At 37.1% G+C, this 27,681-nt stretch overlaps 1 protein-coding gene and 2 long non-coding RNA genes across 5 annotated transcripts in view; 1 reads left to right on the top strand and 2 right to left on the bottom strand.

Moving 5' to 3' along the window:
- Nucleotides 1-306, bottom strand: part of LOC107986608 (uncharacterized) — a 94,049-nt gene extending 93,743 nt beyond the window's left edge. Inside the window, exon 1 of one of the 2 annotated variants that reach the window (XR_007059629.1) lies at nt 72-306. This is a non-coding gene — a long non-coding RNA (uncharacterized LOC107986608). The remainder of the gene's footprint in view (nt 1-71) is intronic. The other variant, XR_001744190.1, reaches the window with a different exon arrangement.
- Nucleotides 1-27,681, top strand: part of EYS (eyes shut homolog) — a 1,987,247-nt gene that overhangs the window by 1,756,416 nt on the left and 203,150 nt on the right. The window lies entirely within an intron of this gene.
- Nucleotides 19,058-24,713, bottom strand: LOC105377836 (uncharacterized). Its single transcript, XR_942649.2, has 3 exons — nt 24,241-24,713; nt 21,351-21,393; nt 19,058-20,086 (listed from the first exon to the last, which is right to left on the bottom strand). It is a non-coding gene; the product is annotated as an uncharacterized LOC105377836 (long non-coding RNA).

The raw sequence follows: 27,681 nt of genomic DNA, 5'->3' as shown, positions 1-27,681 counted from the left end.
ACCAAGATTGAAAGGAGAAAGAGGTTGAGGGATAGAGAGGTTGGAGAAGAGAGTAAAAAGAGATCACTTACCTGATTAAAAATTGGTGAGATGTTCCTTGGGCTGGTTGGTCTGAGGACCAGAGGTCGTAGGTGGATCTTTCTCACGGAGCAAAGAGCAGGAGGACAGGGGATTGATCTCCCAAGGGAGGTCCCCTGATCCAAGTCAGGGCACCAAATGTCACGCGCGTCCATGTGAAGAGACCACCAAACAGGCTTTGTGTGAGCAATAAAGCTTTTTAATCACCTGGGTGCAGGTGGGCTGAGTCTGAAAAGAGAGTCAGAGAAGGGAGATAGGGGTGGGGCTGTTTTATAGGATTTGGGTAGGTAATAGAAAATTATAGTCAAAGGGGGTTGTTCTCTGGCAGGCAGGGGCGGGGGTCACAACATGCTCAGTGGGGGAGCTTCTGAGCCAGGAGAAGGAATTTCACAAGGTAATGTCATCAGTTAAGGCAGGAACCGGACATTTTCACTTCTTTTGTGATTCTTCAGATACTTCAAGCCATCTGGACATCTGTGTGCAGGCTTGGGCCCAGAAGCCTGACAAGCAGGTTTTGTTTTTTTTGTTTTTTTTTTTTGTTTTGTTTTGTTTTTGTTTTTTGAGACGGAGTCTCATTCTGTTGCCAATGCTGGAGTGCAGTGGTGTGATCTTGGCTCACTGCAACCTCCACCTCCCGGGTTCAAGCAATTCTCTGCCTCAGCCTCCCGAGTAGCTGGTATTACAGGTGCCTGCCACCACGCCCGGCTAATTTTTTGTATTTTTAGTAGAGATGAGGTTTCACCATCTTGGCCAGGCTGGTCTGGAACTCCTGACCTCGTGATCCACCTGCCTTGGCCTCCCAAAGTGCTGGGATTACAGGCGTGAGACACCGCGCCTGGCCAAAAAGCAGATTTTTAATGCTGATGAGACTGGTTTGTTTTATAAGGACATTGACAAATGAACCTACCTAAGGCAAATGACATTTTGGTTGGTGACAGTGTTGTGACCAAAGGTTCTTAGGAATCCAACTTGTTATTTTAGGAGTAATAGTTCCATATTTGTTAGTTTATTATTTATGCCACTTTATAGAACATAATTCCCAGAAGAATGAGAATAACTGTGTGTCTCTTAACTCAAGGAGGTCATAGTCTAGTGGATGAGAGGCATATCAGCAGACAGTTATACAAATGGCATCTATTATGCACACAATATATATTTATTGAATGAATGAATAAATGAGTGAATAAAAAGGGCAATGAAAAGAATATGTCTAAGATATGAGCTTTAGGAGGCACCTAACCCAGTCCTGAGAACTGAAATTGAGAATATCTTCCCAGAGAAAGGGACCACTGAATTGAATATTTATATATAAGAAAGCTACCCAGGCAAAGAGAGGAACTGCATGTACAAAAGTATGGCAGGAAGATAACCTAGAAAATTTAAGAAATTCCAAGGAGATTAGTATGGCTAGAACACAGGACACTTGTAGGATAGTGTAAGTGTTGAGATGGGCAAGGCATCTGGGGCTGGACTAATGAGTTTAAAATTTATGCCAAAGGGAGTGGGGAATAACAGAATATGTAAAGCATAGACACTTCACTACCCTTATCTTTTCTTCTAACAGAACTATGTCTACCTGTGTCTGATTTTGAAGTGTCCATTGATGAGTCTTTAATTTTGTGTCAATTTCATTTTCTGTTAGTCTTTGAGCTATATGGAATCTTCACTAAAAGTATAATTTAAAATGCTCATTTTTGTATATTAAAAAATCTCAAAATATTATAGGTAGTACACTGTAGTAACTGAACAATTCTGAAAATACAGAAATAATAAGACATAGGGAAGATAAACACATGACACAAAGTAGAAGATAATATATAGATGAGAACATATATATAGCACACTGTATATATAGCACATATTATATGTATTACATATTATATATACAGTATGTAAATAATTATGGAACAATACTTAAATGCCCAGATACAGAATGCCCATTGCCTCTTTAAGCCAGTAAAGAACCTAAACCTCATTACCTGAACATTCTGCACTTTTGTCCCTGGTTTGGAACCAAGTTAATAGAATACTCTTGACTGAAAGGTTGATTCAAATATTAGTATTTTTTAGAAAAAAAAATTGGTTCAGGAGAAGGAGAGAGAAAGAAAGAAAGAGAGAAAGGAAGGAGAAAGGAAATCAGGGAGAGAGAGAAAAATGTTTGTCCCCTAAAATGGAAAAACAGGGCATTGCTTTCTTTCAAGCTGTCTGATCAGCATCTTGTTGGGGAGATACACCCTTGTGGTGTTTGTCACCAGCCTGCTACTGGAGGCAGGCATCAGTGCAGCTGACATTGTAAAGAGCAGCTACATGATAGAGCAAAAGGCACTTGTCTCATATTTCTGAGAGACAAAGAAATGGAGAAGCATGTTCTCCTCCAGTGCACAAAAGGCAAAGATAAGTGCACATGCTATGAGAAAGCAATTGAGATTGAGAATTCATCTTGTGGGAGAAGAGGGAGAAAAAAGGCATATCCATCTTCACACAATGGCAGCTTCTACAAAGAAAGGACAGATCGCAAGTGTTCTGTGCAGCCAAGTATGATTAATAATGAAAGGAGAAGCCTAGAAGCTCTAATACAATATAAAAGCAAGATCTTTTCATTTTCTTTGTCTTTGAGATGTGCATGTGTGTTTAACATGTTTTCTTCAAATAGTTGAGGTGTTTTTGCATCATTTAGTTCACTATATTTTTACTCATGAGTCATTAGTATTGTGTTTAATGCTCCATCTTAATAAAACCTCAGCAGAATGTAATGTGAGCAACGAAAGCACTTTCAAATGAACTTTCTTCCTAAGACTTATTACTAAAAACCTTGCTATATTGGCCTAAATAATGAATAACGTTATGTCATGACCTTCAGTATGAAACAGCTCTGTTTTCACAACAATAATTTAATAGAAAAGAACCATTTAATCAATCATGAAACAGAAGAGCTCAACATAAGGCATAACCAATGATTGCTTTCTGTCAGGGGGCATTTTTTTTCTAATTGCTTATTATGCGATTAGGACAATATTCCTGCTTGCTGTAAACATTTAACATCTTTACCACTGACTTTGCTGGCATACAGGAAATAGTTGATTATAATAATGAGAAAAGGCAAGAGCTTAGTGCTTCGAATAACATCTAGCAAATCTCAGAAACTGTTGGGGCGGGATTCACAAACCAATTATATATGTAAATTCCTAATAGTAGGTAAATTACAGATCTTTTTTCTATAAAGAGTATTTCTTCTCCTTCAAATAATTCAATCAAAATCCAGCAAAATGTAGGCTAATAGCAGTAATTATTTATCATTTTTAAGGAGTAATAATATAAAATAATTTTCTATTTTTAATAAAAATCACTAATTTATTATTTCTTAGTACTTTTTAATGCATGTGTTTAATTGTCCCAACAACTCTGAGATAAAAACTGCTTATTATCTTCATATTTTTAGATGAAAAAACTGAGATACAAAAAGACTGAATGCTTTTTGCCAAGGTCACACAAACTAGAAAATTTAAGAACTGGGATTTAAGCACATTCACTCTACAGGCAAACTCTCAGCTACCAAAATATACAAATGTTATTATAACATTTTGTTCAAACTCAATATACTTTTCTTAAAAAGTATGTTGTTAACCACCATCACCCTCACTTTACAAAATAAGAATTTCCAAAATCATGAATATTTCATGATTTTAATAAAATACTACCTTTGAGGCATATTTGGTATTCCACCACAGATATCTTTTAAATTTTTTTATTTTTAATTTTTATGGGTACATAGGTGTATATATTTATGGGGTATATGAGATATTTTGATACATACATACCATCAGTAATAATCACATCAGGGTAAATGGGATATTCATCACCCCAAGCATCTATCTTTTCATCACAGACATTTTTATCCAGAATCCTTAAAGATCTGGTGCTTCAAAGTTTCTAAAAAGATATTTTATTCTGCAAAACAGAGACTTCCTTCTAACTCTTTCATGTAGCCAAAAAAAAAAAAAAAAAATAGTTCATAAAACCAGACTATATTCAGGATTTCATACAAAACTTTATTCAATTTAATATATTTTACTCTGTTTACTATGTAACTGAGATGTAACACAGTTACACCTTGTGTAAACCAATTTTGTAAACCAGTACACCTTACTTGATCTGTCAACTTAAAAGCAAACAAGCTACACAAAATGTAAAATGTAGCGTAAGACCTCCTATATAAAAGAGAACTTAATGAAAAGTGAATAGGATTACCAGAAAGAATGATTAGTATGACTTTCTACTAAAAAAATCTAAGAATCATTTGTATGAGTTAATACATATAAAATGCTCTTAATACTTAACAGAAATAAAACTCTATAAAGAACTATTTTTCTTCAATATTAACTTTATAATTATTGAATATGATCATTCAGATAATTTGAACATTTAGCACAGATTTATCATGTTATGCTGAGACATAAAAACTTGCATAAAACCAAATGAATACAGTGAAAAGTCCTAAGTTGTGTGCACAGCATCTGCATAATGCCTTCCCAATACAAGCATTGGGCTGGGCCTCTGGGATGTGTGTCCAGGACCAGCTCTGCCACTTGAAACCTTGGATGGGTACGTCAGAGCCCTGAGCTTGAGTTTTCATTTGTAGAATTAGTAAGTGAAATAGGCATTTTAGAGTCCCTTCTAACTGTGGAATTCTACATTTATAGCGTTTAGTGGCAGTAATCATGAAGAGAACCCTGAACTCTAAATAGAGCAGTGAACTCAAAGTCAAAGCATTCAGGTTTTATTCGTAGGTTCAGGAAAAGGAATAAGGAAAGGGCAGTTGGGACAAATACTTGTGAAGCCATTAGAGAGTGATCTGATATGATAGTGTGAGTTATTGAGGTGGTGTTTACTCATAAACCAGTTCACCTTATTTGATGTGTTAATTCAAGAAATTAGATCAGGTAAATACTTTGATGAAACAGAGCTAACAAGCAAAAGAATCAAATCAATCTGGCATGTAAACAGACTGAGATATAAGGATTTCTTACTCTGCCTGTTCAATTACATACAAATTTCATCATACAATTTCATTTCCCTGGATTTATTGACTATAAATTTGCACTTAACTCAGTAATAGTTGCTTTGTAATGTGCAATAATTAAGTATATTTGCATGTACTTTTGCATATGTGTGGTGAGGGTGTGGAGGATCGTTTAAGGTCAGATGAATTACTCTGAATATTTTGCCATTAACCTCCCTAAACCTTTAATCTTTACCTAAACCTACCTGTATATATGGCTGATATGGTTTGGCTGTGTCACCACCCAATTCTCATCTTGAATGGTAGTTCCCATAATCTCCACGTGTTGTGGGAGGGGACCGGCGGGAGGTAATTGGATCATGGGGGCAGTTTCCCCCATGCTATTCTCGTGATAGTTCTCACAAGATCTGATGGTTTTATAAGGGCCTTCCTGCTTCTCTGGTTTCTCATTCTTCTCCTTCCTGCCGCCATGTGGAGAAGGATGTGTTCCCCTTCCACCGTGAATGTAAGTTTTTTGAGGCCTCCCCAGCCATGCTGAACTGTGAGTCAATTAAACCTCTTTCCTTCTTAAATTACCCAGTCTCGGGTATTCCTTCAGAGCAGTGTGAGAAAGTACTAATATAATGGCTAAATCATATTGTCATTAAATAATTTATCAAAACAGTGATTTACTTCCGTATAACCAAATATATGTCATTGACAATATTTTTTTTTACTAAAGTGATCAAGGTTTTGATGTGTAAATATACTTCTTTTATTCTTATTTTTTATTTTTTTTGAGATAGAGTCTTGCTCCCATCACACAGGCTGGAGTGCGGTGACACGATCTTGGCTCACTGCAACCTCCACCTCCAGGGTTCAAGTGATTCTCCTTCCTCAGCCTCCCTAGTAGCTGGAATTACAGGTGTGTGCCACCATGCCTGGCTATTTTTTTTATTTTTATTTTTTTAGTAGAGACGGGGTTTTGCCACGTTGGCCAGGCTGGTCTCAAACTGACCTCAAGTGATCCACCCACCTCAGCCTCCCAAAGTGCTAGGATTACAGGCATGAGCCACCACTCCTGGCCAGTATAGTTCTCCTAAAGTCATTATTGTAATCTTGAAAAATGCTAAGAGTAGATGTAAAGTGTTCTCACCACAAAAATGATAACTGTGTTAGGTAATGCATGTGTTAACTAGATTTAGTCATTTCACAGTGTATATAGACTTTGAAACATCATGTTGTACATGAAAATACAATTATCTGTCAATTTTTTAAATAATGTTTTTAATTTAGAAATTTAAAGAAATGCAATTTTTAAAATTAACTGGCAGACTAAAGCATGTCGTACACTTTCGTAAAATGTACTAACAGTCTCTATGTTTGAGATACATTAAGGCAAAAATTCTTATTTTTCTCATTTATTATATATCTGAAAACACATAAAAAGCTCATTTTTGCCATATGTGGCTAAGAGCTAGATGCACTGCCTTATATTTTGCTGTAAATTGTTTCCCTTTCAGCTTTTTCTATTGCTTATTTGTTGAATTAGCCAGGATTATTTTGGCTGTGAGGGACAGAAACCCAACACAAACTAGCTTACAACAGAAAAAAGAGTCATTGTCTCTTATTAGAAAGTCTAAGGCTTCAGGCAGGGTCAGGTCCTGCGCTCTGCATCTCTCTGTCTTTATTCTGCTTTTCTCTCTGGCTTTTTGTCCCAGCAGCTAGAAAAGAAGGCTGTTGGCATTCCAACTAGATGGTCTTCACAGCATGTGATCCAGGACAAAGAAAAAGCCTTTCTTCCTGCATCCACTTATCAAATGTTAGGAAAACCTCTTATTGAATATTATTATTAACAGGTATATCTGTTTGGTCAGCCTGGGTTGGTAGCTGCACAAACAAAGGAAACTAGGTAAGCAAAAGCAATGTGCATAGTCCATCCATGGAGAGAATAGTAATTTTGTCAAGTTACTATCTATCTGGAGAAATGCTACAGAGAAACAAGGGCAATGCCTCTCTGGTAACTAGCAGGGAAAAGCACTCTACCAAAATAGGAACAGTACAAGTTTGAATTGCCTTAAATCTATGTATTTAAAACTAAACACCGTTTTTGGTCTAGTGTGTAGTTTTAATTAAATTTGAACTTTGAAATTAAATTATTCAAAACCAATAATTTGCACATATCTTCTTATCAAGAAAAATTCTTGCTTTAATTCATTTTTGTAATGTTTAGGTTTATACACATAAATATATATCTTCATGAATATCTTCATATTTTCATGCAGAATCAAGCTAGGCAAAATATTTTCTGAGTCTGTAAACTTTAATGTAAACTACCTCACTAGGCATTTTTGCACATTATAAAAATCAAACCAACCAACTCTGTGATTAAATAATCAAGTACCAAATGTATGGATAAGACCATTAGTAGCCACCTAAGTAAGTTAACTCTGAGTTTGATACCCTTTCTCCTGAAAATAATTTTTATTTGGAGAGTCTTGTCTTTCTATTGTTTTTGTTGTATGGTTCAAATAATAAATACATCCAGACTTTTGGTTCTACAGTTGACACCTGAACAACACAGGAGTTAGGGGTGCCAACCCCCATGCAGTCAAAAATCCACATGATTCTTGACTTCTCAGAAGCGTAACTACTAATAGCTTACTGTTGACCAGAAACCACACCAATAACATAAACAGTTAACACATATTTGATATGTTATATACATTATATACTGTATTCTTACAATAAAGCTAGAGAAAAGAAAACACTAGTAAGAAAATCATAAGAAAATGTATTTACTATCCATTAAGTGAAAGTGATCAGAATCAAGGCCTTCATCCTCCTTGTCTTCACATTGAGTAGGCTGAGGAGGAGGAAGAGGAAGAAGAGTGTTGCTGTCTCAGGGATAGCAGAGGCGGAAGAGGTAGAAGAGACAGAAGGGGAGGCAGGAGAGACAGACACATTCAGTTTAACTTTACAGAAATATGTCATAATTTCTGTCTGATGTTTTTTTTATTTCTCTAAAAATGTTTCTATATGGTACCAATTATTCTTCCACTGTTTGCTTTAGTTTCAATGTCCATATCATGGAAGGGCCCATGTCCTAAAAGAATTCAAAAGCAGTCTTGAGTAATCAGAACCCTTCTACCAGATTGTTTAATGTCGATTTGTTTTCTGGCACTGCTTCTTCTACCTGTTCTTCCTCATCGTCTGCCACTGATTGGAAGCACACATCTCCACCAAGTTGTCTTCCATTAATTTTCTATTAATTAGAGACACCTTAATAGAGATGTCTACTAAGCTGTTGAATTTCTCCAAGATCCTATATTGAAACCTTCTCCTGCTGCCTTTTTTGCCATATCCATAATCTCTTTTATGACTTCCTTGATTGGCTTTGTCATAAATCTTGTGAAGTCATGCCTATCTGGACACAGTTGTTTCCAGCAGGAATTTGTTGTTTTAGGTTTAATGGCCTTCACAGCTTTCTCTATAACAATGATGACATTTTTTAGTGGTCTAATGCATCCAGACTTTTATGTTATTCTCTCTACTGGGATTATCTTCCTCATTGTTGACAATCCTGTCTATAGAGTGCTGTGTGTAATCAGCCTTAAAGATCCTTATAACCCCCTGATCTAGAGGCTGAATTAGAGACATCATGTTTTCCTAAAAACTATGTAGACTACTTCAATACAAGTAGACTACTGCAACACCTTTAGTGTTTAACTCATTGTACTCTGGGTGGCTAACGGCATTGTTCAAAATCAAAAGAACTTTAAAAAACAGTTCCTTACATGTATGGTACTTCCTGACTTCAGTGACAAAGCATTAATGGAACCAATTCAGAACAAGTGTTCTCATTGTCCAGGCTTTCCTGTTGCACAACCGAAAGACTGGCAGCTAGTGTTGATCTTTTCCCTTTTAGCCTAGTAGCTTAGCAGCTGTATAGGTAAGGGAGCTTAGCAGCTGTATAGGTAAGGGGAGTCCCGATCATAAACACAACTGCATTTGCACAAACAGTAGCATTAGCTTATCCCTTTCTGCCTGAAATCCTAGTGCTTGCTTCTATTCCTTACTAATAAGTGTCCTTTGTGGCATTTTTTTCCAGAATAGGGCACTTATCTGAATTAAAAACCTATTCAGGGGCTAATATCCAGAATCTACAAAGAACTTAAACAAATTTACAAGAAAAAATCAAACAACCCCATCAAAAAGTGGACGAAGGATATGAACAGACACTTCTCAAAAGAAGACATTTATGCAGCCAACAGACACATGAAAAAATGCTCATCATCACTGGCCATCAGAGAAATGCAAATCAAAACCATAATGAGATACCATCTCACACCAATTAGAATGCTGATCATTAAAAAGTCAGGAAACAACAGGTGCTGGAGAGGATGTGGAGAAATAGGAATACTTTTACACTGTTGGTGGGACTGTAAACTAGCTCAACCATTGTGGAAGTCAGTGTGGTGATTCCTCAGGGATCTAGAACTAGAAATACCATTTGACCCAGCCATCCCATTACTGGGTATATACCCAAAGGATTATAAATCACGCTGCTATAAAGACACATGTGCACGTATGTTTATTGCGGCACTATTCACAATAGCAAAGACTTGGAACCAACCCAAATGTCCATCAGTGATAGTCTGGATTAAGAAAATGTGGCTCATATACACCATGGAATACTATACAGCCATAAAAAAGGGTGAGTTCATGTCCTTTGCAGGGAAATGGATGAAGCTGGAAATCATCATTCTGAGCAAACTATCGCAAGGACAGAAAACCAAACACTGCATGTTCTCACTCATAGGTGGGAACTGAACAATGAGAACACTTGGACACAGGGTGGGGAACATCACACACCGGGGCCTGTTGTGGCAGAGGGGGAGGGGGGAGGGATAGTATTAAGAAAAATACCTAATGTAAATGATGAGTTAATGGGTGTAGCACACCAACATGGCACATTTATACATATGTAACAAACCTGCACATTGTACACATGTACCCTAGAAGTTAAAGTATGATTAAAAAAAAAAAGAGGAAAAAAAAACGTATTCAGGCAGATATCCTTTCTCCTCAATGATTTTCTTAATGGCATCTGCGAACTCATCAGAAGAAGCTACTCCTCCTGTTATCCTGATGTTTTTTAAGCCATACTACATTCTAAAATCAACAAACCATCCTTTGCTGGCATTAAATTCTCCAGCTTTAGATCCATCACCTTCCTTTTGCTTTAAGTTGTCATATAATGAATAAATTTCTCAAATCATAGCAATCCTATATCCACATAAAAGCTGAATTTTCAATATAAGATTAAAAGGTATTTTGCAGAAAGTACAAAGTTTTTACACCCGCTGGCCTAGCTGCAGCAACAGCTTCACAAATTTCCTTTTCTTTTTTTTTTTAACAATGGTTTTATGTTGTGTTCATTTATCTTGAAATAGCAGCAACCACAACTACAGATTTCAATCTATGGTACATAGCAAGCAATTAGACTTTTTCTTGTAATGTCATGACTTTTCTCTGCTTCTTGGGAACACTTCCAGCATCACTAGTGGCACTTCATATGGGTCCCATAACATTATTCAAGATGCACTAAACAAGATGAGAAATATGCAAGAACCACAGGAGATCAGTTTTTACTGCAATATGCAATTTACTGGAGAGATGAACTGCTCATGCAGCAATGGTTAGGTCACATCGCATTTTAAGTAGATACCCAAAACACTTGAGCTCACCTCAATAGCCACAAGAGGTGGCTACAGAATTATTACAGTAGTACAGTATGTTCTGTTAATTTAATGCAGTTATAATTTAATACTGCATCTTTACATTTGTTTACATTTCTCCCAACTATTAATAGCACCATGTACAGTCTTTAAGTGTGAGCATAACTTTTGATAAATTTCAATATTTATAATAGATTTGTGTATATTTTCTGGTAATAGATAATAAAATAGATGTATCTACATATGTATTATGCATTTATGACATATCTTTTCCTTAGTTTTTTTTCAATATTTCTGGGCTATATGGTTTGTGAGTTTTTTCAAACTGTCACAAACTTCAAAACATATTTCAATATATTTATTGAAGAAAATCCATATATAAGTGAACCCATGTAGTTAAAACCCTTGTTGCTCAAGGGTCTGCTATATTTTTATATTCAATGACATTAATTATGGAAAACAAACCTTATAAAAATATTTCTCATTAAAATTCACTTTGTAAAACTCCTAAACCCAGAAAGAAAGCAATTTTTGTCTTACTCTTTCTTTTGTCAAAACTGAATTTTGAAACACTTTCCCAACCCCGTTAACAGTGCCATCCTTTCCAACTGGTATTTCTTTGTTTGTTTTATCTAAAACACTAAAGAAATTATTGGGGATGGGTGGGGACTTTCCTGCGTCTTTATCATGCCTATGAAAATTTTACAAACTTGGTATCCCTCTTAATCTCAATCCTCTAGTACCCCTTAAAGTGTAACTTTGAAAGAGTAATTTTAGAGATACTGAGCTTGAAAAGGCTTTTGAAATATTTCATTTCTGAGCTGAGTCAAAAATAGGCATATTTGTTAAAAAAAAAAAAAAATCCCCTCACAAAGAAGCTTGTCTGGGAAAAGTATTCTTCAAAACTGCTTTCAGAAAGCCTCTGTTCCAATTCATGGAGCTTATTGTTCTGATCTCAGAGCTCAATCCCCACAGCTTGAATTTCTTTTCAAAATTGTTTAATGACTTTTAAGAATGTGTTTCTTGCTAAGTCTTGTGAGCTTCCAGTGTCAATGTTTGCCTTTTGATTTCTGTTATTTAGTTCACTTTTGTGCTCCTGACCCATGATAAAACAAGGACCAGAACTGTCCAGCTCTTTGTAAAATATGTGCTCATCCAACTCAGCACCCTTGAGTACACGTGTGACTTAGAAATTAGGCTTTTCCTCACTGCATCTACTTGTGACATTTGCCAAATATTTTTATATATCCAACTCATTTTGGTATGATTTTGGATGAAATAGATGTGTTAACCTGCAAGTGCTGCAGATGTTACTAACAAAATCATACGTGACACACTGGGCAGAAATTAAGAGAAATTAAGTCAAAAGTTTATAGAATCATTTACAGATCACATTTTCTTTTTCAACCAAGAGAATTAAACCACATTTCAATATTTCTATCATATTTAAGCTATGTTAGAAAATGTATTTAAGAAAATAGCTTCTGGTCTTCCCATGGCTAACTGGGCTGCCTGGATGGTAGATCAGACTGACCAATGTTATCTTTAAATGTTAAAACCCTGTGGTTGCATCCAGAAGTTAGTTACAATTCTGCAGAGCCCTGTTTCCTTAGAACCTGAGGGACATCCCTTTCTTAGCACAGTACTAATAATCCTGAAATCCTATAAGGACTAGTTATTTTAACCATATTTCATGGGCAGCAGCAGACTCGACTCCAAGCCTGATAATTAGACTGTGGTTGGGTCTGTATCACCATACGAGACCAGCAACTCTAAATATGCGTTATTCCTGTAGCATTAGGTGAGGTTGGCTAGGTACTTGAGTTTCCTATTTCCTTTCTACTTCGAAGTCTCATCTTCATCTGTGCAGAGTTCAGAAATCTAATTTTATTGGTTGTTCTAGGTTAACCAGTTGATTTACAAATCTAAGTGCAGGTGAAAAAGTTATCAGTCATATTACTACCTCATTATTTTGTAGTGAGAAATATCATTCCAATTAAATGGAATTGATTTTATCAGCTAGTCAGTGCACGCTCTTCTCAATTTTGACACAGCGGAAATTTGTTTAAATTCAGAAAGTGGTGTCTTAGTCTGTACTGCTGTAACAAAATACCATAGACTGTATAACTTATATACAGGGAGAAGAGTGGAGAAGAATGAAATGGATTGGGAGAGGAAAATATTAAATATCCAGCATAGTTCTCATATTACCCACCAAAATGTATTGATCTCCATTTTTTTCTTTCTTGTTTTCTACTATCAGACAGAAGTCTGGGAATTGTACTATGTTCCTTTCATTAAGAGGGAAGCCTGGCCAGGCGCGGTGGCTCACGCCTATAATCCCAGCCCTTTGGGAGGCCGAGGCGAGCGGATCACGAGGTCAGGAGATTGAGACCATCCTGGCTAACACAGTGAAACCCCGTCTCTACTAAAAATACAAAAAAATTAACCGGTCGTGGTGGCGGGCGCCTGTAGTCCCAGCTACTCGGGAGGCTGAGGCAGGAGAATGGCGTGAACCCGGGAGGCGGAGATTGTAGTGAGCCGAGATCGAGCCACTGCACTCCAGCCTGGGCAACAAAGTGAGACTCCGTCTCAAAAAAAAAAAAAAAAAAAAAAAAAAAAAAAAAAAAAAAAAAAAAAAAAAAAAGAAAAGAGAGAAGCCTAGAAAATTTGGATCTTGACAGTGTCTGATATCACTTCAGATAATAGCACATCTGAGGTGTTGCTTGATATTGCTGACAGCCACACTTGCCTCACTCCTACCTCTAGTAAAGCTAAGATTTTATGTGTCTGTTTTCCCCACTACTTGAGGACAAGGACTATATCCGATTCCCATTTGCATCCTACAATTGTCTAGTATTTAGGGGTTTCTCAAAAATGTTTGCTAAACTGGACTTATTATTCTATGCAGTTGTCACCCTCACTAACACCCTAGTTCTGGATTGAGTTTCTCTCTCCTAGGCAGTACCAGAGCAGCACTAATCTCTCTTTTTCCACAGTATTCCTTTTTCAGTATTCCAGAACCTCGGAAACTTCAGTTGTCCCTTATCACACCACGGCTAGCCTTCATTTAACATATCCTCATGACATGTTATAATTTCCTAGTTTGCAACTTATTTGTTACTGATTTTATTTTAGATTGCTTCCTGGTGACACGCAGAAAGATACCTGAATCTCATCAGTGATATGTTTTCAAATTACATTTTAGTGTAGGTTAATTTAGGAATATTTTTGTAGATTGTTAGTAGCATTAAAAGCTTGTTGATGTTTTTAGTATCAAATCAAGAAACTGACCTTGATCTGTGTTATACCTGGCATATAAAAAGCTCCCAGTTAGATGGATAAACAGAAGAACAAATAAGTGAATGCATGTGTGAATAAATGGGTGAATCATTAACAGAAATCTAAGGATTGACTATCACAGGTCATGCCTGGACATTGCCTGCTAAACAGCAGTCATGTGTAGGATAAGCAGAGCCATGGAAACAGACTATGCACAGTAAGCTGGGGGCTTTAGGGGAGACTAAACTTCTGATTCTGGGGAAAGTGCATATAAAGAGTAGAACACTATATGTAAAGGCTATAGGGAAATATGAACAATGATGATCCAGGGATGTAATCAATATCAGGCTAGCAGAGATTCCTATACATGTAATAGAGAATAGAATATGGAATTCTGAGACAAGTGAATTTTTAAATACATGTAAATTGGCATTTGTATAGCCAGGATACCTATCCGCCAGCAATCAGGATCCAGGTTCCAATTCAGCCCATAATAGACTCTCATCCCAGAAGGGGTCTAGGTTTAATGTCAAAGGGCTATGGTGAATAATGTGAGACCCCCATCCTGGAGAGCTAAGCAGATTCCTGAGCAGGCATCTACAACAAATTTGGAACTAAACATAAAGTAAAACAAATATCACAATATAAGTTTGAAGCCAAAGTGGGGAAATTTAGTGAAAAAAGACATGTTCTCTGGCTTTGGAGATGGTTAGAATTTACCATTCAGAAGTGAAGGGGAAGGTGTACCAGGTAGAGGGAACAGGGTGAATCAAGTTGCCTACATTCCAAACCCTGGCTGTTTGACCATAAAAAAGTTAATTAACATCTCAATTCTTCCATTTCTTTATCTGTAAAATGGGGATCATAAAAATATCTACATCATAGGATTCTTATTAGGATTGTATGTAAAAGGTTTAACAGAGTACTGTTGCAAAAGTAAATGTATAACAAAAATACCACAGACTGGATGACTTAAACAACAGAAATTTCTTTTCTCACAGTTTTGTAGGTTAGAAGTCCAATACCAAGGGTTTGCAGAGTTGGCTCCTTCTGAAGCCTGTCTGTTGGCATGCAGACCTTCTCACTGTGGTCTTTCCTCACGTGGCCTTTCCTCTATGTGTATACATTCATCTTATATCTTTCTGTGTGCCCAAATTTCCTCTTCCTCCTTTTCAAATTTTTTTACAGGAAACCAGTCAAATTAGATGAAAGCCCATCCTAACAAACCACTTCTTTTTAACTTAATCACCTCTGTAAGGCCCTATCTCCAAATATAGTCAAACTGTGAGATACTGGGTGTTAGGACTTCAGCATATGAATTTTGGGGAAAAAACAATTCAGCTCATAACAGATAAGTGCTGTCTAAGAGGGCATGTGGCCAGAAAGCAGAAAGTAAGGACAATAACTCGTCATTCATTTATTCATTCGTCTAATGAATCCTGAGAGCATGCTATGTATCAGGCTATATTCTCAGCTCAGGAAATTCAGCAGTGAACAAGGCAGACAAGCTCCTGCTTTAGGCAGCTTCTATCCCAGCTGAGAAGTTGGGAGGGGAAAGCCAGAAAAACTACTCAAAAATCATGTGTGTTACACTCTGGAAAAATTTCCATGAAGACATGTAGTACAATATAAGGTTTAAATATAGATGTAAACACAAGTCTAGGAGTTTGGATTTTATTAAGTAGATAATGGGGAAATGTACATATTTTAGCAAGGAGGAGGTGCGGGGCTGTGTTTCTGGAAGAGCTCAGAAAAAAAGCAGGTAGTTTTTTTTGTTGTTGTTATTTTTATTTTGTTATTTTTATTTTTTTATTATAATTTAAGTTTTAGGGTACATGTGCACAACGTGCAGGTTTGTTACATATGTATACATGTGCCATGTTGGTGTGCTGCACCCATTAACTCCTCATTTAACATTAGGTATATCTCCTAATGCTAACCCTCCCCCCTCCCCCTCTGCCACAACAGGCCCTGGTGTGTGATGCTCCCCTTCCTGTGTCCATGTGTTCTCATTGTTCAATTCCCACCTATGAGCGAGAACATGCAGTGTTTGGTTTTTTGTCCTTGCGATAGTTTGCTGAGAATGATGGTTTCCTGCTTCATCCATGTCCCTACAAAGGACATGAACTCATCACTTTTTATGGCTGCATAGTATTCCATGGTGTGTATGTGCCACATTTTCTTAATCCAGACTATCATTGTTGGACGTTTGGGTTGGTTCCAAGTCTTTGCTATTGTGAATAGTGCCGCAATAAACATACGTGCGCATGTGTCTTTATAGCAGCATGATTTATAATCCTTTGGGTATATACCCAGTAATGGGATGGTTGGGTCAAATGGTATTTCTAGTTCTAGATCCCTGAGGAATCGCCACACTGACTTCCACAATGGTTGAACTAGTTTACAGTCCCACCAACAGTGTAAAGTGTTCCTATTTCTCCACATCCTCTCCAGCACCTGTTGTTTCCTGATTTTTTAATGATCGCCGTTCTAACTGGTGTGAGATGGTATCTCGTTGTGATTTTGATTTGCATTTCTCTGATGGCCAGTGATGATGAGCATTTTTTCATGTGTCTTTTGGCTGCATAAGTGTCTTCTTTTGAGAAGTGTCTGTTCATATCCTTCACCCACCTGTTGATGGGGTTGCTTTTTTCTTGTAAATTTGTTTGAGTTCATTGTAGATTCTGGATATTAGCCCTTTGTCAGATGAGTAGATTGCAAAAATTTTCTCCCATTCTGTAGGTTGCCTGTTCACTCTGATGGTAGTTTCTTTTGGTGTGCAGAAGCTCTTTAGTTTAAAAGCAGGTAGATTGTTAATTAAAATGATTAAGACTGTCTACTCCTTTACCTGGATGATATTATGTGTGTGTGTCTCTCTCTCAAACCTTCATATATAGAGTTCCATCTTGTGATAACATGAAATATATATTTGGTCTTGATCCCACTTCCTGGCACACAGCTCTGTCACTGGAGCAATGAGTGTTTTTTCTATGTTCATGAGATGGCTGGTGGCTCGGAGCCACTAGATAGCTTCACGATGGAGGCTGGTCACTGGAAAAACTTCATGATTAGAGGGTTGGGACTTTCAGCCCCACCCCAGACCTCTGGGAAGAGGAGAGGGGCTGAAGGTAGAGTTGATCACCAATGGCCAATGATGTAATCAATTATGCCTACATAATGAAGCCACCATAAAAACCCAAAAGAGGCCAGGTGCGGTGGCTCATACCTGTAATCCCAGCACTGTGGGAGGCCGAGGTGGGCACATCACCTGAGGTCAGGAGTTTGAGACCATCCTGGCCAACATGGTGAAACCCCATCTCTACTAAAAGTACAAAAATTAGCCGCGTGTGATGGTGTGTACCTGTAGTCCCAGCTACTCAGGGGGCTGAGGTGGAGGTTGCAGTGAGCCAAGATCGCGCCACTGCACTCCAGCCTGGGAGACAGAGTGAGACTTTGTCTCAAAAAAATAAAACTAAATTAAAATAAAAATAAATGTTTAAAAAAAACCAAAAGAACAGGATTCAGAGGGCTTCCAGATCATTGAGCTCACTTGTGTAGGTGCCTGGAGATTGGCATGCCTGGACAGGGCATGGAAGCTCCATGCCCCTTTCCACATGCCTTGCCCTATGCAGCTCTTCCATCTGGCTGTTCATCTGTATCCTTTGTAATGTCCTTTATAATAAGTGAGTAAACATAAGTAAAGTGTTTCCAAGTTCTGTAAGCCACTCTAGCAGACTGATCAAACCCAAGGAAGGTATCATGGGAACTCCTGATTTATAGCCAATTGGTCAGAAGCAGGTCACAGCCTGTGCTTGTGACTGGCATCTGAAGTGGGGAGAAGTCTTATGGATCTGAGTGCTCAGCCTGTGGGATCTGATACTATCTCCAGGTAAATAGTGTCAGAATTGAATTGAATTAGTAGAGGATGTCAACTGGTGTCTACTGGAGAATTGCTTGGTTGGTGTGTGGGGAAAACCCCCTACATATCTGGTATCAGAAGTGTTCTGTTGGGTGGAGTGTGAGGGATGGAAAAACACTTGTTTAGTTTTTTTCCTATACCTTTATTAGCTTTTCATAGGAGAATTTTTACTAGAATCAGAACTAGGAAAGCAAAGCAGCAGTGGGCATAGAGAGAAGAAGAAAGAACATCAAATATTAGGAAATAGAACAGGACTAAAAAATTCCCTGAAGGAGGAGTGCCAGAGGAAGGTGTAAAGAATAGTTATTGAGTGTTGAACCAGGTAACACGAATGCTAGAATAATTCCAGGAAGAAAAGAAAAGAGAATTCATTTAGTTTAGGCCACTTTTTTCTCAGGAGTCAGATGAACCTCCAAATGGGGATATCCAAAAATAGCTGCTAATGTTCAGTAGAAGCAGAAAAGGAAATCAGTATATTAAAGAGATACCTGCACCTTGGTATTTATTGCAGCATTATTCACAATAGCAAAGATAAAAAATCAAGCTAAAAGTTCATCAATAAATGAATAGATAAGGAAAATGTGGGACATGTACACAATAGAACAATATTCGGCCATAAAAAAGAATGAAATCCTGTCATTTGTGGCAATATGGATGGGCCTGGAGGACATTTTGTTGAGTGAAATAAGCAAGACATAGAACCGCATATTCTCATTCATATGTGAACCGCATGTTCACATTCATATGTGGAAACTACATATAGAAACCGCATGTTCTCATTCATATGTGGAAACTACAAAAATATGAGCTCATAGAAGTAGAGAATAGAATTGTGGTTATTAGAGGCTGGGAAATGTAAGGAGGAGAGGAGGATGAAGAGAGACTGGGTAACAATACAAAATTACAGTTAGATAGAAAGAATAAGTTCTAGCATTCTATAACACTGTAGGGTAAATGTGGTTAATGATAATTTATTATATGCTTTAAAAAAACAGAAAAGAAATTGTTAAATATTCACAACACAAAGGAGTGATCAATGTTTGAGGTGATGAGTATGCTAATTACCCTGATGTGATCCTTATACATTGTATTTGTGTATCAAAATATCACTCTGTATCCCATAAATATATACAGTTATTATGTGTGCCAACTAAAAAAAGAAAAACATGTTAACAATAGTCAGGGTTGACACATAGATTTGGGGTTAACTACATAGAGCTCAGGGTTGAACCATGTACTTCCTGAAAGGAAGCCAAAACAAGAGGAAGGCAGAGCAAGAAAGCATTTTATAGCAAAACTACATTGCCTAGAGTCAGAAGGGAGCAGAATGAGTAGTAGAGCAATTACAAAAAGAACAAAAGATGGAAGAGGTTATTCAAAATAGAAGAGTCAGAAGAGCACAATGTTAGAAACAAAGGGAAGGACCTTGAGGAAGAAGCTATAGGTAGCAACGATGGATGATGCAGAGAAGTGAGTGAGTGAGTGAGTAACAGAAAGAGCTGTTGTGCTGACATCCTAAGAGTCTGCTCTTGACTCTCAAGGAAGTAAATTCAGGAAGGTGGAAAGCAGATGTATGGGGTGGCTCATTAAGCCACCTGGGATAACAGACTCTTCTTTAAAAAAGAGTGAGGCTGAAGAGCAACTGTTTTCTATTGGAAGTGTTTCCTCTTTAAAAGAAAAAGCTAATCTCAGGTGATCATACAACCCAGTTTATGCCTGTTGTCCCAAGTGAATGACTAAAAGTGTGCCCTTTCACTCTTCAAATATAATCTGTTAAGAAGATAACCTTTGTAATTCCTGGCAAGGCAAAGGAAGGGCTGCACTCTTTCTCTCAAACAACCAGAAAGGGGAAGAAATTATAGAAAGACTCAAGGAAATGCTAATATGATCATCAAGGGTGTTTATGGGTTCAATCAAATGTTCTTTATCTTTCCAATAAATTATAGACTAGGATAAAGGGGTGGGTTGCAAGGTTTGGAAACACGGCCTCATTAATTTATGCCTGTGGTGACCGAGAACACTCACCACTTTCCTGCAGTATTGGAGGGGTCAATCTGAGTCTTCAACCTGCCATTTCAATGGAGAAGAAAATCAAATTTGGAAATAACCCATGATGAAGTTTTGACATACCTTTGTGTTGTGGGATTTTTAAAAATTCTTCTTTATAAGTTTCTTCTTTACATTTTTATATCTAAAATAAGCATTAATTTGGTAATCAGTTAAAAAAACAATGATTTGAAAATCAATCTATTTGTTGTTTTAGGATATGAAGACCCCTTCAGTATGCTAGTTTGAAGAGAGATTGTGAAGCCAGGGAAGAACAGTAATCATAGCACACTACTAATCTATGCAGGATGCATTTAAATAATAATGATGCTATAAACACTTATTGGTTTTCAATTTTTGGATGTTACCTATCAGTAAAACACATAAAACTGAATCAAGGTTACAAAACTGAATGTAAACGTGATCAACCTTGACACTTTTTGTTTGGTTTTTGGGTGGGGGGGGTGGGTTTCTTACATTTTTAATTGACAAATAATAATTGTATATATTTTGGAGGTACAACGTAATGTTTTAATACATATATACACTGTGGACTGAATACATCAGGCTAAGTAATACATCCATCACTTCACATACTTATTATTTCTTTATGGTGAGAATTGTAAAAGCCACTCTTTTGAAGTAAAGGTGGAACTGGCGGAAAACAGAAGCTGGCAATAAGGACAGAGGACAGCAAATAAGGCAAGGTGTTAATATTTTAATCTCACACGGTAGGAAGTCAAGAGATATTGAGTAAATAAGACGTGACGACACATAGGTTTCAGTTTATTGTATTAATAGTACAATGATAACTAATAGGGTAAGTCAAATACCAGGCATAAATATTAGGAGAGAGTAGTTTAAATGAACTAAACTCTTCCTTAGCATAAAATTAACAGAATTTGATTGATCAAGAAAAAGTAAAATCATACAGTGAGAGGAAAGAACAGAATGGCAGAAAAACCTACTGTCTCCAGAAAACTCAGTGTAGAAAAAGGATGAGTGAGGACTGCTATGTTTCATTATGAGTCTTTCTATTCTACTCAGATTTTTACCCTGTGAACGTGTTACTTTGCTAAATTATTAAACAGAGAGAAAATTTAATAGTAATAGCAGTTGACAGAGCCTTCCTTTCGAAGCAGCTGACAGAGCATCATACAAGTGCAGTCTGTAGTTTTAAGATTTCAAGCCATGCTAAAATAATTCCAAATTTACTTGTACAAAATGCTGGGTTTAGTAATGTGGAGAAGAAAATGATTCTACGAAATTAAAGGGATACTCAAACCTTTCAATGACAAATCCAGTCTTGAGATGTTATTCCTTCTAACCTAAGGAGAGAGAACACTCCATCAGTTGCTTCTTCTCCTGTGGATATAACAGCTGTCTGTGTCTTGAGGCAAGTGAGAATCAAGAGCGCCAAAGAAAATAGCAGTTGACACAGACCCTGCAGACTACAGTTTTCTTACAGTTTACTGATCACTACTTATTTGGTTTTTGTTAGATTTCCTGGGCTTTTGTTTAGTAGAGGGGAGCTTAGCTTGATGCATGGAAATCAGATTAGAAACAGTTCACTTCATCTAATTTGGTTTTCATTAAAATTCCTTAAATAACAGATAAGTAAACATTATTGATGACATGCTCATGGATCCCATTTGACCCCGTCTACTTGCCTAGATAAATCCAGGCAATGTCTTTCCAGGACTCAATAGAAACTGGACATTGCATGTTTCAGTTAGCCTCAAATTATTACTGATGCTCTTGTGGATTTGTATAAATCATAAAATCACCTCCTGCTTCTCTGACTGGATTTTAGCTCCAACAGAAACTCTTCGTTTAAAGACTGATTGTGTTGTCAGCACTCCCTCTCAAATCCCATTAGTGATTCCTTCAATGTGCAGGCCCCCTAGGTGGGTTTTGGTAATTGTGTATCTCTGTAAGACTTTCAGGAAGCTTGGTAGGGTATCATTAAGCTGAGTGTACTAATGCGTTGATCCAGGCGCAACCAGAACTAGTGGGATTTGAATTGAAACTTGAATTAAAATGTCAGGAAGAAATTGTCCTTTAAGCAGATGCTACCTGACCCAATACTGGAAATCAAGAGATGAAAACTTTACCATTTAAAGTGAGATAGAATATATGTAACGATATATACTTATTATCATGCCCACCTCAGCACCTACGCATGCGCACACGCACACACACACACACACACACACACACAGTCAAAAGGTGAGCAACAGTAGATGCCTGTGCCTCCTTACTTCAAATTATTTTGTCATTTGACAAATATTCACTGATCACCTATTGTATGTCTGATAATGTCATAAGCACTTTAGACACATCTGTGAATAAAACATACAAAAATATTTGCCTTCATGGAGCTTATTTTCTAATGTAATCCTAGGCAATGAGAAGAATGAATCAGTATAGCATTATGTACTTTTTTTTAAGATAGGCACAAAGCTGAGCCTAGAGCCAGTCTACCAAACACTGTAGAAGAGTCATAGAGCATTTGAAAAATAAGTCAGCATAAACCTTCTCTTTCTGCTAGTAATCAGTTATTTTACAAGCCAGTGTTGTCTAGCACTTTAAATGTTCAAAGCATCAAAATACGTCAGCACGATTGATCTTCTCAACTTCTATTATACCATTATACCATTGAGAAAAGGACACAGAGAGGCTAAGTGATCTACCTAACATTACACAGCTCATCGGAAACCAATGCTTTTTCCATTATGCCATACTGTTCTTCTAAGTTAGTGGAAAATGCATGAGACTTCAATCTAGAGTAGAGAAGCCTGTCTGAGCATCAAAAGAACAAAAGCCTAGGAAGCTCATAAATTTTCATGTAATTTCAGGGATGGAGGTGACCTCAACAGTCATGACTATAAAAAGCTATTCCTTCACCACTACCTCCAAGCTACCTAACACAGCCATCCTATGTTCATTCAGTAGCTTAAAGTATCCGCTGCCCAGCGTCTGTCTCAGAAGCCTGGCTTCTGTTTCTAGCATCTGCTTAACGATCTCTTGAGCCAGAGATTCAGCAGCAACTGGTTTCCATCTTGACACACTGATAATATGTCAGAGTTAAAGTTAAGGAGTTACTGAGTATTTCTGGCCACAGGAGGAATATAGAATATTAAACTGAAATGATATCTAAAAAGTGCCATCTCAAAAAACTCACCTTAACCACACTCAGCCCACAACAGAAAAAATTTAAAAAGGAACATCCATCTCAATTCGAGTGACATTTTTTCCAGATCAGCAGAAATGTTAATTGTTTTATGATCATGACTTTTTAGGCTTCCATAAGGCAAAGTAATAACAAATCTTCAAAGTCTGTCAAGTGTTTGGGCCATGGCTCATGATACAATGACTAGCAAATTACTGCCTTAAATCTGACTTAATGCAAAGGGCAACTGGCCCAAAGTCAGCCAACATGACCTCTTATCTCATTTTTGTCTTTTATTAAGTGCAGGATCCTGATTAGTAACATTGAGCTAGAGACATGCATAGATAATCTCGTTTATTCCTAAAAATAACTGTTTGATGGTAATATCCCTACTTTTCTGCGGAAACAAACTGAGGCTCAGAGAGGTCAAGTAATTTCCCAACATCACACAGCTATTAAGAGCAGAACAGACTAAGAACCCAAGTTTTCCTATGACTCCAAGACCATGTCCATTTTATTAGTCTTCATCCAATTCACAGAAAATGAGCATAACGACACCCACCCAATCTTTCTCCCAAAGCTGTTGTGAAATCAAGTGAGCTAATATTTACTTTAGAAGCTCTTTGAAAAAATCCACAAATATTTATTGAAATCTTATATCTGCTTAGTACTGAGTTGAGTATTAATATAATAGTTGAATTCTAAAGTCCAAAGTACAGCCTTTACCCAAGTGCAGGTCATTATTGTTAATTTGTACGTAATAGTAATGACAGCAATAAGTAACTTTCCTTATGTTTTAAGTACTGAGAACTTCTGGAAGCATTATAAGCAGAAGTACCATTAAACTCTCTACATTATCCATGACTATTACTGTGAAGTTATTACTATCATAGACATCCACAATGATCCAAAATCTGTGATTGAATGTCTGGACTAACTGTCAAAATGTGGCCCAAGTATTCAGTCTAGTTCCTGTACTGATAATCATTTATAAGCCACTTACCCTCTTTCTCCCTTCACCTTCGGTCTTTAATATAATAGAAAAAGAGTAACCTGCCATTAGGAGTGCTGTTAAGATACTGCAGCTCTCAGAGACTGGCTCTAAGACATGCTGAGCCCATTAAATGCACTGTAAAAGTCCCAAGTGGTATTAATGTTTAACTTTTACATACAGTATGCTACAGGAGAAACAACTACACAGAAAATAACAATGCTAAGGGCCCTTCCTGCTAGACCATTATAGCTAAGAAGAAAAAGCCAATTGTTCCCTTTGTATAGCTTATCATAGCATGTGGTAGGGATTCTATCATTCTGTAATGTTTTTCTGGAGTGATTGAAAGTTAAGAATATGCTTGACTAGATTAATTCCCACTTTCCACAGAATTGAACTAAACATCTTAAAAAGTGACAGTTAATGGGAACTTTGAAAGATTATCTAACTATTGACAAGCCCATGCTGATAGGATGATCCCTGTGGATAAAGCACAATGCCATGTTCTCACTCATAAGTGGGAGTTGAACGACGAGAACACATGGACACAAGGAAGGGAACATCGGGGGGTGGGCCCAGGGGTGGGAGAGCATTAGGAGAAATAGCTAATGCATGCGGTGCTTAAAACCTAGATGACAGGGCCAGGCGTGGTGGCTCATGTCTGTAACCTCAGCACTTTGGGAGGCCGAGGTGGGCGGATCACGAGGTCAGGAGATCTAGACCATCCTGGCTAACACGGTGAAACCCCGTCTCTACTAAAACTACAAAAAAATTAGCCAGGCGTGGTGCCACGTGCCTATAATCCCAACTACTCGGGAGGCTGAGGCAGGAGAATGGCTTGAACCTGGGAGGCAGAGGTTGCAGTGAGCCAAGATCGTGCCACTGCACTCCAGCCTGGGCTATAGAGCGAGACTCTGTCTCAAAAAACAAACAAACAAAAAACCTAGATGACAGGTTGATAGGTACAGCAAACCACCATGGCACATGTATACCTATGTAACAAACCTACATGTTCTGCACATGTATCCTGGAACTTAAAGTAAAATCAACAACAACAGAAAAAGCACAATGCCAAAGAAACCAGAAATACGTGAAAGTAATTAAATACCAAATAAAATGTTCCACAACTTCTATTTTATACAGGCCAGTAAAATGAGTTCAAATTGTTGAATTTTCATGTAAGAATGCTCAAAATTTTCTACTACCTAGGATAGGTAAAATATACTCATTTTCTGTAGTACTTCCTTCTGTTTCTCTTGTTATTCTTTCTGATGAACAGGACTGATGAAATTTAGAGCTGAAGAATACCAGTAAATTAGAGGAGCTGCCATTTTGTCTGGAAATGTACATTTTTCATGGATATTTGACAGCATTGCCCACAACTTCTCCCCTTACTAGGGCATTTTAATGAGGATTTCTGTCTTTAGCTTAATTCTCAGGGCTGCTTTCTTAAGTCATTGGTAGTTTCATTTTACAGAAATGAGGCTCAGAAGATTAAGTTGCCCAAAGATGTCCAGCATATAAATTATTATGCTGTGAGCATCTAATGCTGTTGTCAAAACCCAAACTATACATATGAACGAGCTTGTTTTATGTGCTTAGGTCCTGTGTCAATGTTGCGGGTAGTGGTGAAGAAAATCTCACTTCTTAGTTCCCCACGCAATCAGTGGCAGAATTCACCAACAAACATAGTGATGATCCCAAACCTCTTCACATATATTATTTATTTCCCATTTTTACTTTTCTGTTATGCACCAAAGAGGAAAAAAAGCCAAGCTGAGAAGATAAATTCTAATTTTGAAAATCTAGTTTATTCATTCTGTCTTGGCCATAGTGGAAAAACTGTTATAGAATCTTAGAAAGTAACCACTGAAACTTAAAGATGATCTGGCCTTGGCTTCATATTTTACACATCAGGAATCTGAGCCCCTATAGAAACTAAATGATTGATTGCCCCTAGGTTACAAAGATTGTTAAGGGCTGCTTATACTGATGATAACCCCCCAAAAATAGTTCTCTCAATATCAGTTGCAGCCTCACCATTAAGTAATTGTTAGCACACCTTGCATTGACTACCAGGTGTTTCACAAACGATGCTATTTTGTGCTCTAAACAATGTATTTCTCTAAAACACTATGCAGAAGTTATCCTTGCACAGAGTGTATCACTTGCATGCCACTACACAGACAACTTCAGAATGCTTTTCTCCAGTAAAGAGGCTCTTCTTTTTCCACACGAAGCATTTCAAGGGTAGCTCTGAGCAATTCACTTTGCATAGAAACTGGTATTAAACTGAGTTTTGATTCACTATAAGCCTGAAAACATAAGTCATGTTTAGGCTTGTAACATGGCAATCACCCCATCATTTCACATTTTAGAAACTGTAGCATAAGACCCAATTAATTCTGAGAGGAAGAAGTAGCTATACAACTTTTTAAAGAAGTGACATGTAAAATCATATGCAGTGAGGTAAATTTCCTTCCCATCACTGAATTCAAAATAGCATAAGCTTTAGAGAATTCCTTTTTGAATTTATTATGCATTTTCTCTGTAAGCTTTTGAAAAAAAAAAGAGATCTATGAATAGAACCATTTGACTGGTTATTTCATTATGTTTATTGACCAATCAGATTCTAGAAATTAAGATAAAGGATTTAGTATTTAATTTTTTATGGTACCAGCCAGAGTCTATAAGGAGAGTAAAGGTTAGGCTTACATTATTCTAAGCAAATTAATGCAGGAACAGAAAGCCAAATACCGCATGTTCTCACTTATGAGTGGAAGCTAAACAATGGGTACTCATAGACATAAAGATGGCATCAATAGACACTGGGGACCATAGACGGGGGAGAGAAGGAGGAGGACAAAGGTTGAAAAACTATTGTGTACTATGCTCAGTACCTGGGTGAAAGGACCAGTCGTACTCCCAACCTCAGCATCACGCAATATACCCAGGTAACAAATCTGCACATGTACCCTCTGAATCTAAAATAAATGTTGAAAGTATTAAATATAATTTTTTTCTTATAAAAATTTTTTAAAGATTTGGCTTAAACAGTAGTACATCTTAGTATCAAAGGCTTAAGTAGGCAGTGTTATTTGCTATTTTCTTTTCTAATTAGCATCTTTAAAAAAGAAATATAACCTATAATTTTAATGACCTTTACTATCCAGAAAATTGTGGTTCGTTTACCGTAATACTGTCTAAACTTTTACACGTTAACTTACTCTTTGCTTCCACCTAGTGTATGGTGGGTAGTATAGCAACATTTTTTAAATGGCATATTTGCATAAAATGTTCTTGAAAAAAGAACACGTGGATTTTGTCCCTTTTGTCTTGTAATTTTAAAAGTATAGTATTTTATTTTCTATTCTAGGGGAATGAAATTAACACACTAAAAAAATAAAAGTACAATTAATATATTTTCCTATTCTTAGAAGACCTATAAGCATT

This window comes from Homo sapiens, chromosome 6 (genome assembly GCF_000001405.40).
Source record: "Homo sapiens chromosome 6, GRCh38.p14 Primary Assembly".
In the NCBI taxonomy this organism is placed as follows: domain Eukaryota; kingdom Metazoa; phylum Chordata; class Mammalia; order Primates; family Hominidae; genus Homo; species Homo sapiens.
The sequence above is the reverse complement of the archived record's forward strand: the minus strand, read 5'-3'. Positions and strand labels throughout refer to the sequence as shown.